Source organism: Homo sapiens, chromosome 13, assembly GCF_000001405.40.
Source record: "Homo sapiens chromosome 13, GRCh38.p14 Primary Assembly".
Taxonomy (NCBI): Eukaryota; Metazoa; Chordata; class Mammalia; order Primates; family Hominidae; genus Homo; species Homo sapiens.
This window is the reverse complement of record NC_000013.11, coordinates 81,071,747-81,083,965: the sequence shown is the minus strand read 5'-3', so window position 1 is coordinate 81,083,965 and position 12,219 is coordinate 81,071,747.

Here is a 12,219-nt window from a genome sequence, read left to right as displayed (position 1 = left end):
TTTCTCTTATATAGAAAGATATCATCTTCACTTTATGCCACATTTTGAAATATCATGGAGTTACTTCCTTGATTCAAATTTCTCCTGAGCATGTCAGGTTGCTCAATTTTACTTCAATGATTTCAATAATTTAATATTTACTGGTTTGGGAAATAATACTTTAATTTCAAACCAAAGGAAATGCAATACTGCACAACTTTCTAGGTTGTCAATACCAATCCAAAATGTTGCACTTAAATTATTTACTATGGAAATTGCTTTAACTCTTCCATGGCTTCTGGTACAGTTTTTAGGACTCTGTGTATAGCTCAAGTATTGAGTTCTTTGTAAAGTTCGTTCACTATCACGTAGCCAATGTAATGTCATCATTGGCTAGGAGTATACCTCTTCTCCAATATGATTTTATTCAGTTATTTGAAACACTTCTAACATTAAAAAACTAGGCTCACACCCCAATATATTCACACAAGAGACTCAGATTTCTCTGAGAAGCATCAGTAAACACGTATTCAATAACTTTAGTATTTATCACATTTAGGTGACATCTGTGTCTACTTGCACTTGATTTTGAGCTCCTTGAGGCTTGGTTCATATATTAGTCTCTACATTCTAAGTGCATAGTATAATACCTAACCTGTGCTGAGACTCAATGAACAACAAGCATGTGAAAAAATAACCAGTAAATAAATGAATCAATGTGGGATTAACATGACATCCATCTCATCTATTCAGCGAAAAATAATCACGCACTTTCCATATGGCAGGCAAAGGCTGATTATACAGGTGTTAAAAAAAACAGACACTTGATGCTGCATGTACTTTAATTGTATTTGCCTAAAAATGTTGTATCTACTATAATTTAAAGGTCAGCCAAGTAATTAAAATGATGCTATTAACTATGTTCTTAGAGTCGATTTTCCACTCTTGGGATTGCAGCAGAAGGCCCAAGGACATTTGTGTATATGGTCATGAAACATTCAATAGCAGAGTGGTTAATCTGTGAGTTGAGATCTGGACTCTGCCATGTATCACCTGTAGGGCCTGGGGCAAATCAGTTCACCTTTCTGTGTTTTGATTTCCTCTTTAAATACGGGGAATAATAATAATACCTATATGAGTGGTTGCCATCAAGCTTCAATAAGTGAATTTATGTGAATAACAATGGAACAACACCTGGCACATGGTAAGCTCTTGACAAATGTACTCATTATTATTTTTATAAGATTATTTGTCACTAAATGAAAGCATTCTAGTATCACTACATAACTGAAGTTTAATTTTATGGAGAAAAATGTAGTTTCCTCTTCCTATAAAATGTCTACCCTATTAGTGTGACCATCACTGGTATACATATCTTGCTCTCGTAAATTCCTGTTTCTTGAAAAAATGACTGCAAAGATATATCTGAAAAAATATTGTTGCTTATTTTGTTTTGGGCAGGGAGGGTCACTGGATTTTATTTATGCATATGTTTTTGGATTTGGTCCTAAGACAATCCTCAAGGGTAAAGAAATACCAAGGTAGTGAGGCTTTCATAAAAATGTACAGATGGAATTATTTTGCCTCTCCAAAATCCTAATTAATAAATTTAAATAAACTTTTTGCAGAAGAAGAATAAACCATTATAAAGAAGGGAAATGATTCCATGAGGTACTTAATGTAATAATGTATCTACTGTCCTCCACACCTCTTCACCAAATAAGTGTGTCAGTACAATTATTGCTCCATCCAAAGGCTTGTCTGACATCACCTTTTCAATTGAATCTTAACATTTGTGCACAGATACACTTGCGCACACACACAAACACACAAATGTAATCAACCTGCCTTCTGTATTACCTGTTTAGCCTGCAGAAGTTTTATATTATTAAGTGTGAGAAAATGTACCACTATAGTACTGTTATTCTCTGTCAAATATGTTGGTTTATGTACCATGCATCTTAGCACAAAAATTGTGCCCAGTAATGCTTTGTTGAGCCAAACCTAATTCAAAGTAAATAGAAAAGTTCTTATCATAGAGATAGAAGTTAGGTATGGCCTATTTTACGTATGGCTTCAGACATTAAAATTTCTTACTACCCACTCTTGAAACAGCTTTGGGTTTCACAAAACATTCACTTTAACTTGATTGTTAAAATTAATAATAGCATAATTCTAGTTCAGTCCTTTTAAAGCATAAAATTATCAGACATTCTATGACAATACAAAATGGAAAGAAATGGGAATAGACAGTCACAGGATTTTTATGAGTAATGCCATGTTTCTTTACATTATTTTTATTAAAAATAATAGGTGCAAACACCTGTGAGCTAACAATGATAATGTCTAGATGCCTACAAATGTTTCCCCTGAAGTGTCAATAAAATTTAATCACCAGATTATATTGGGGACCCACTACTGGTCAATTTACTAGTGTGCAAAGGGGACATATTATCACCAGGTGAGTTTTCTTAATTCTCAGGGATTCTAAATCAAATGTCAGCCTCTATGCCTCTTCCTTAAAACAATTTAATTGTTCTTGCATTTATAACTGTCATCTGAGGCATAGTAAAAGGAAATTTCAACAGAGAAGTGACAATTAGAATATAGCATGTCCTCAAGGATTTTATCCAGAGAGATTCCATTATGTAAATTGCTAGCTTTCTTGCCTCTGAATTCAATTCCAAGGCACAAGGACATTCAAAATTAAATCAAGTTGGAGTTATAAAGTGAACTTCCAATACAACTGGCAACTTAAGAGATTTTTTCCTTCTCTCTTTCCAAATTCCAAATCTTATTCTCTGTTGTTTTAAAACCTCTTGAGTTCAATATAATCATATATAATATGTGAGAATTGACATATACTGACCGCAGGCAGAAAAAAATGACTTTTCTACTCACTTTACATAAGATAATCTAATTATTTCTTGAAAAGAGCACATGTGATTGATGATACCTCTTAGGAAAATTTACTAATCTGGAGGAATGTATTTATGCTTTTATTCAAAGCAGCGTTTTATATTAAAACATTAAAGAAAATGACAGGTTTTTACACATTTTTTTCTAAAGATACTCTCAGATCTTTTCTCATCTGTTGTTTCAGGCTCTGCTTTTTAGAATCTCTTCTACAAAGATAGATGTATTGTCTTTGGCACCATCTCTCACTCATTATTTTTTACTTATGCCCCTTAGATTCTTGTATCAGAGTTGAAACCTGTAGTTTGCAACAGGGAAATTTTTTACATGTGGAACACAGAGGATTTGAAAATTTATTAAAACAAGAAGCAGGCAATTAATCCCTGAGAGGAATTTACATTTAACAAAATACATACTATTAAAAATAATCGCAAAAAAACGCGATTATTCTTGCAACAACCTAATACGAATAATAAATCCAGCTTACTTTAATATAAATTTGTGTACTTACATATCTGTTTATATTTAAGGTGGCCTCTAGATAGAAGTGGGTGATATCCTGAAGCCAGTTCATACAGCCTCACAGGAGCAAATTTTATGCATCTCTTCCTAACTCCACATTCAGCAATGATACGTTTGTTGCTTGAAATTGCCCACGGTTTGAGTATTTATACCACAGAAAGCTGCAAACAGCTTAAAATCGGCTTCAGAGAACAGTTGTTGAACATTTACCAGCACAGCATTAGTGAAACTATGGGTCAAAACTAACAGCCTTATAAACATAATTTTGAAGTTTAATTCTACAGATACCCAAGCCTAACTTTTGAAGGAAAATAGAAGTTAGTGATAAAGACGTGTAACCAATTGTAGTTAATTCTTATAATTTTCCCACCTCAGCATCCATTTTGAAAACAAGTTTAACTTTCTCCTAGGCAGGGCTTGGTCACCATCGACAAAGTTTCCAGTTCTGCACCACACGCAAATGGCCTAAGCCTGGTAGCCAGAGATAAGAACTTAGAGGCATCTCTTCTGCCCAGTCCACTGGGCTTCTGCTTTCCTGCCAACTCCTTTAAAGGAATCATTTAGGCATTTGCACAAAGTGACCCAAACCCTATTCCCGCATATATACTAGACTGCTATTTCTCACTCTCTCTGTATGCTCCTGATGGCTCTTCCTGACCCAGACAGATGAAAGAAGGCCCTCCTTACTGATTGTACTCTCTTTACTCAGGATCTGTAAGCACAAAGTCTTTGAGCTTGTTTTCTATTGTGGTGGTGTTTTTAATTTGTGCCTTCTATCTGAAGAACTGTGGGCTTCCCCAGGATGCTGAGGAGAACACAAAGGCAGGCTCCCAGAGCCAGAGTGATGGTCAGGCAGGCATAAACAGCACATGAGTCCAGGTAAGAGTCACAAGGACACCTTCCGGTATAAACAAGTTTCCCACGTGAGGGACCCGCCCCCCCAACCCCCGATCACAGGTCCAACAAATAGGCATTAGCCCATTCACCAGGTTAAAAATGTAGCCCAAGGAAGGTCCACTAAACGCTAATGTTCTGCTCCTATATTTTCCTTAGGGCAGGGTTGCTAGCTAATCTGGTATTGGAACCCCAGTTTAACTGGGGGTTCCCAAAATTACTATTTTATTCTATCCACATTTTAAAGATGGAGGTTAGATGTTGTTTTCCTATTACTGGAATATAGACTATAACTACACTAAACTAGAATATTTAATTATTTACAGATATTTTAAGAAGTCAATTTGGCTTACATACATACAACTGGTTTCATTCTGCCTTCTGTCACACATGCAAATAAAGGTAGTATTTATTTGTATGTATGAGTAGCTCTGATCTGCCAGAAAATATGCAAAACATTCCATATGTGTGTGTGTGTGTGTGTGTGTGTGTGTGTGTGTATGAATTATCTAAATCCTCAAAATAGTTGTCTGATATTGGAAAAAATATGGTAATGACAGTGTATTGTTAATACTATTCCTTTAATGTATTTGAGTAACTGCACTGTTTATTGTGAATCATTGTGTTTAAATTCAATTATTAGAAATGTATCTGAAACAGTAATTTTTAAAAAGGATTATTTTAAATATATGTACATTAGTGTGAGGATTTTGTTTTGTTCACTACTACGTCTGTATCCTAGAATAAAGAAAGTCAGATAATAGAAAATGAATATTCTTAAATAATCTGAATTTAAAATAAAAATCATACTCTCCATTTGAATGTTCATGTGAAGTTTTTTTATGTGTATCTCTATTTCTTATCTAAATGCTCTCAATATTCCTATGAATTATGCAATATCAGGTTCATTTTATAGATGCAAAAACAAATTACTTTTCTTGCTGCATCTTTGTACAGCTTCTTTTATCTCACTAATATTTATTCACTAACAACTGCTAACTAGAAGATGAGGTCTCTAGCTTCACTACAGTTTTCTTAGGATCAAATCAAAAAGTCCAGAATTTATAATTTCTATATTAAAAACTGTAGAGCTTCAAATAATTTTCTTTCACCACAAATCAGTCATAGTATCTTGCACAGGACAAATACAGGCTTGTTCATCTTTAATCTAACCTCATTAGCGAAAACTCTGACAATGCTCACTAAAATATGTTATGGAAATTTGAAATCTGAAAAAAGAAGATATACTGATCACATTTATCTAGAGAAACAGAACCAATAGGATGTGTATGTGTGTATGTGTCTGTATGTGTGTGTATGAAGATTTATTATAAGGACTTGTCTTAGGAAATTATGGAGGCTAGTGAGTCAAAAATCTGCAGTGTGCAGCATGGGCTGGCAGGCCCAAGATCCAGGATAGTTAATGGTGCAGTTCAGGCCTGAACATGCTGGCAAGCTGGAGAGCCAGAAGAGCCAATGGTGCTGTTCAGTTGGAAGGCAGTTGATATGGTTTGCATTTGTGTCCCCACCCAAATCTCATGTTGAATTGTAATCCCCAGTGTTGGAGGAGGGCCTGGTGGGAGGTGATTGGATCTTGGGGGTGGACTTCCCCCTTGCTGTTCTTGTGATAGTGAGTGAGTTCTAATCTGATCTGGTTGTTTAAAAGTGTGTAGCACTTCCCCCTTCGCTCTCTCTTCTTCCTGCTCCAGCCATGTAAGACATGCCAGCTTCCACTTCGCCTTCTGCCATGATTGTTAAGTTTCCTGAGGCCTCCTCAGATGCATATGGCCCATATGGCCTGCGGAACTGTGAGTCAATTAAACCTCTTTTTCTTTATAAATTTCCTAGTCTCAGGTAATCCTTTATAGTAGTGTGAGAAGGGACTAGTACAGCACTCTTCTAGACAATTTCCTCTTGCTTAGGGAAACTAGTCTTTTTGTTCTAATCTGGTCTTCATTTGATTGAAAGGCTCACCGAGATTGTGGAGAGCAATCTGCTTTACTCAGAATTCACCAAATGAAGTGTTAGCTTTATGCCCAAACACGCTCCATGTTGATACGTAAAATTAACTGTCACCGAAGACAAAATATAATATCACAGGTGAATTGAGAAGGCTACATGTAGATAATTATAGTTGGTCTTTATATTTTTCTCAAAGAGTCGTTTGGAGGTAATACAAACAAAAACAGTCATACTTTGGATAATGCCTACATTTAGAGGTATAAGGAGAGAACATATCAAAGGAGGAAAATGTATAATAGTGTTAGGAAATCTACAGTTGTTAACATCAATCACTGTTCTCTTTTTTCTTTTTTTTTTTAATTGTAAAAAATTTAAGTTTATTTTAATTTTTTTTTCTTTTATTATTATACTTTAAGTTTTAGGGTACATCTGCACATTGTGCAGGCTAGTTACATATGTATGCATGTGCCACGCTGGTGTGCTGCACCCACTAATTCGTCATCTAGCATTAGGTATATCTCCCAATGGTATCCCTCCCCCCCTCCCCCCACCCCACAACAGTCCCCAGAGTGTGATGTTCCCCTTCCTGTGTCCATGTGTTCTCATTGTTCAATTCCCACCTATGAGTGAGAATATGCGGTGTTTGGTTTTTTGTTCGTGTGATAGTTTACTGAGAATGATGATTTCCAATTTCATCCATGTCCCTACAAAGGACATAAACTCATCCTTTTTTATGGCTGCATAGTATTCCATGGTGTATATGTGCCACATTTTCTTAATCCAGTCTATCATTGTTGGACATTTGGCTTGGTTCCAAGTCTTTGCTATTGTCAATAGTGCCGCAATAAACATACGTGTGCATGTGTCTTTATAGCAGCATGATTTATAGTCCTTTGGGTATATACCCAGTAATGGGATGGCTGGGTCAAACGGTATTTCTAGTTCTAGATGCCTGAGGAATCGCCACACTGACTTCCACAATGGTTGAACTAGTTTACAGTCCCACCAACAGTGTAAAAGTGTTCCTATTTCTCCACATCCTCTCCAGCACCTGTTGTTTCCTGACTTGTTAATGATTGCCATTCTAACTGGTGTGAGATGGTATCTCATTGTGGTTTTGATTTGCATTTCTCTGATGGCCAGTGATGATGAGCATTTTTTCATGTGTTTTTTGGCTGCATAAATGTCTTCTTTTGAGAAGTGTCTGTTCATGTCCTTCGCCCACTTTTTGATGGGGTTGTTTGTTTTTTTCTTGTAAATTTGTTTGAGTTCATTGTAGATTCTGGATATTAGCCCTTTGTCAGATGAGTAGGTTGCAAAAATTTTCTCCCATTTTGTAGGTTGCCTGTTCATTCTGATGGTAGTTTCTTTTGCTGTACAGAAGCTCTTTACACCTTATACAAAAATCAATTCAAGATGGATTAAAGACTTAAACGTCAGACCTAAAACCATAAAAACCCTAGAAGAAAACCTAGGCAATACCATTCAGGACATAGGCATGGGCAAGGACTTCATGTCTAAAACACCAAAAGCAATGGCAACAAAAGACAAAATTGACAAATGGGATCTCTTTTTTCTTTAACATTGCAGCTTGATAATATTTTGTCAGTTGCTCCAAAATTAGTTAGCTGGTGTACATGAGAAGTGAGAATACAGTGACTCCCCTTTCCCTACTCTTCCACTGAGAGGGTGCTATCTCTTGCCACTTAGCAAATAGCAACCAGAATGATACCTTGCATATGAGGAGATATCTACAAGTCATTAAAATGTTCCATGCATATGGTATAATTTCTTTAAAACATTTACCATTTTACAGATCATTTTTGCATTTCCTGAATTTTTTTTCTGCATTCTTATATATCACAATAATATTTCTCCAAATTTGCTTCTGGATTCTGAACATCTACCCTCCATGATGCCATTTTCTTTATTTAGTTAATTGTCAGAGCCTATGTTACTCCAGTTAGCGTATGTTTTACATGAGTTGCCTGTTTATCCCTTTAAAGGAACTGTCTGTTTCAAACCTTGATTAGTAGCATTTGGAATCTTAACCTAAACCTTAAGAGTATCCATCATTGGTTTTATTTTTTAAAATTATTAAATATACATAATTTATTGTACTGGGAACAAAGCAAAACACTAGACACCATTTTGATTGAAAATTACACACACCTATGTTTAAATAAAGTCTCTATGTATGTGTGAATTTTAATAAACAGTCTCATTTTCTCTACCCAATCAGTAAATAACAAAGTAGTGGGAAAAGAGGAGATGTGGAAATGGCATGTAACCTAGGGTCCCAGGGTTTTGGGATACGCGCTGTGAAAAAGTTATCCAATTTAACTGTTGCACACTGAGTTCTTGTTTCAAAAAGTTCCAGGAAGAATATTCAGCCCTGGAAAAAAAAATAAAAAAACTAATTGAAGCCCTAGATGTCTGAGTTGGAGATAAATTTTGGCAAAATCTCCTCATAATCACACTAAAATGTCCACCCAGGGAGGAACTTATTGCTATTTTCTATACACACAGTGTAAGTAGTAACATGACTGATGACTGCACCTCTGTAGCCTTTACTCCATCTCCACATACAATAACTCAGCTAACCAATAAAAGCCCTGTTTCTACTTTTGTTGCCTGGGGAGGCACTGTTTGGGAACTATCCTCAGTGCCCTCTTTACTTGTTGCAAGTAATACAATCCCCTTGTTAAATCCTCCTTGTTTGTGGCCACCTGTAAGTGGTTGGTCCCACCATTGTGTGAGTAACAGGAACACATGTGTTTGTGTGTATGTATGTGGATATTACACCAGCTTTATAGTGTGGGGCTGAAGAATAGAGTTGTATATACAACATTGTTATAGGACCTGGCGGAGTGAACATTTTGGGAGACACAGTATTCCATGGAACACATGTACTCCTCCATGTCTTGTTGGGTATGCCAACAAGCAAGTCCTTGACCATTTATTCTCTGGCATTCTCTCAGAGTTGTGTTTACATTTGTCAACCTACATGCAGGACAAAGAGCAGGCTTACTAACTGCTTGCTATAAAATGGCAGATTACTGAAGTTCAGTGCTTCTGTTCTAGAACATAAACCATTGCCTGTGCAGGCATCTATCTATCCGGTCACAAATTATGCCACCCTTATGTGGCTTTCGGCACAGGGTGCTGATACACAAACGGATGCTCCTATGCTCCTGCTACTTGCTTTATCATAAGTAATAAAATGCTTTGTCTCTGTCCCAAAAGCCTCAAGTCTTCTGCTAGCATCCATAAAATACTGAGAGGTTAATTGATTAATATTTATATAGAGTAAAATAAAATTCCTCAATAAATTTTAGGAGAAAACAATGACTGAAGTTGAAACACCAACCTTACATTAAAAAATAAAATTCAACATTAATCAAGTCCCTTGACGTTGGTGCTAGATAAATCAACCACCATTGAAAGGCATTACAGAAGTTCTCATTATGAAATTTAAAAAATATATTTATAAATGTTTGCTTCTTTATACTTTATCTTTTAATGGTCCAATTATTTTATGCAACTTACTATAAGCTTAAGTATACACTAAGAATTTGTGTCTATTTTCTCCATCTTTATAATGTTTAATATTACTGGATTTCTCCCTCAGTATCAGTTTTATTACTTTATTGAATATATTCATTTTCTCCCTTAGAGTTAGTATGTCTTCAGGTAGTGTTTTAGAAAATCCTGGTTTTTTTTAAAAAAAAAATTTTAGTTCTGGGATCTGTAACAGACACTGAATTAGTATGTCAAGACAATGACCTGGAAATCTGTATTTTAGTGATGATCAACATGTTTTTTATGATCAATTTGGGGAATACTGTCTCAACATAAGAAGTGCTTGAGTTTTTAAGTAAACTTTTTATGTAACCCAATGAAAAGTTATAAACATAAAAACTTTAGCTTTTGATTCCGGTGTCCAATGTTAACTCCAAGGCTGGAGTGCTTAGGAAGTAAACATTCATTTAAACATTCATTTAGGAAGTATTCCTTTAAGAAATATTTCAGGCTGGGCGCGGTGGCTCATGCCTGGAATCTCAACACTTTGGCAGGCCAAGGAGGGCGGATCAAGTGGTCAGGAGTTTCAGACCAGACTGGCCAATATGGTTAAACCCTATCTCTACTAAAAATACAAAAGATAGCCAGGCATGGTGGCAGGCACCTGTAGTCCCAGTTATTCAGGATGCCCAGGCAGGAGAATCACTTGAATCCAGGAGGCAGAGGTTGCAAGGAGCCAATATCGCACCACTGCACTCCAGCCTGGGCGACAGAGTGAGACTACATTGCAAAAAAAAAAAAAAAAAAAAAAACAACAAAAAACAAAACACCAGAAGTATTTCACTTAAGAAGTATTCATTTAAGAAGTATTCATTTAAGAAGTATTGAGTAAAAATTCATTTAAGAAATATGTCTTAGGTATTTCGTGAATACATCCTAGGCAAGGGGTTTGTGGTAAGCATGCTGAAGATTTTTCTCGTTTCTCTCAATAAGTTAAATGGATTTCAGATTGAAAAGGATTTATTTAGGGTGATTGAATATTTCATGGAAGAATTCGATTTTATAAAGATCTAGAATGCTTTAAATTTTATAAGTCCTCAGAAATGAATGCTTTGTAATAGTATTCATTATTTTTGTTATGTCTTATTAACCTTGATGTGTTTAGGGACATTATTGTGCTATTTTTAAGAGCAGGTGCTTTGGAGTAGCACCCTTAGGTTCTAAGCATTGTCCCAGGCACTTGACATGCAGCAGTAAATATGACAAACACTGCCATGGGCCTCAAAACTATTTTCCAACCATTACAGGTCACAATAGTCCTGGCCTTCTCTGTGTCCCACAGAACTAAATCTCTCTATTATATATTTTAGCACCAAAACATACTTCGGGGGTGTTTCCTCTTCTCTGAATGTGCCTAACCAAAATGCACAATTGAATATACCCTAAACACACGGTATATTCAATAAAAATTGACTAGTTGAATTGAATTAGGCATGAGGTGCATTTTCAGTGAAAGGCTCCAATAAAGAGCAGCACTTACTATTTTCTGCCAGAAATAATCTGTGTCACTGGTTGAAAGAAAAGACAAAGTGGTGTATTTTCAGCTCTGATCATATATTTATAAGTTAGCGGCAGCAATATTCTGTATGTAGTTTTTCCATATTTATTTCTCAGAATCATAAAAATAGGATATATTAATGCTGGACATTTCTCAGAGTTTGGCTATAGTTTTCTAAAGATGTTTTTAGAGGAGTATATGTTTTCTTGCTGTAACTCCTGTTTTGTGTTGCACTCACACTATTGCAACAATACTTGCCTCTTTTTTCACATTAGTCAAGTTTAAAACTATTCACAGTTTTGGTACATGCAGTGTGTGTGTGTGCGTGTGTCTGTCTCTGTGGATTATGACAATATTGCATGCATGTCTTAACATTTTTATATTAGTATTCTATTTAACAACATATAAAATTTTCTATGTCAATGAGTATTAATAAACATGATTTTTAAATGATTCTATAATATTTCATCATACAAACTCACTATATAAACAGGCTCCAAGTGTTTCAAATTTAAGTTACCAATTTTGTCATCATAATAAAAGTGACCACTGAGGTAATGAATATTTGTGTTTCATTTCACTTCTTTCTCTTCTTGTACATTTCTTTGTTTTTATCTCATATATGTAACAGCAATAAAGAAATACAAATTCATAACCCATGTTTGAGTAATGGATATGCTATTTGCAGGTGATGAAAAGTCACATTGTTCTTCACTCTATTCTTCCAATTTCTGGATCAAAGACCACAATTCATAGTGGAAGAGATTTTGGCATCCAGATGGGATGGCAACCAGGCCACAGGAAATGTTTTCTGACAACTTATAGAGATTCACTTTTTGGAAATACGCCATGACCATTGCCTAGGG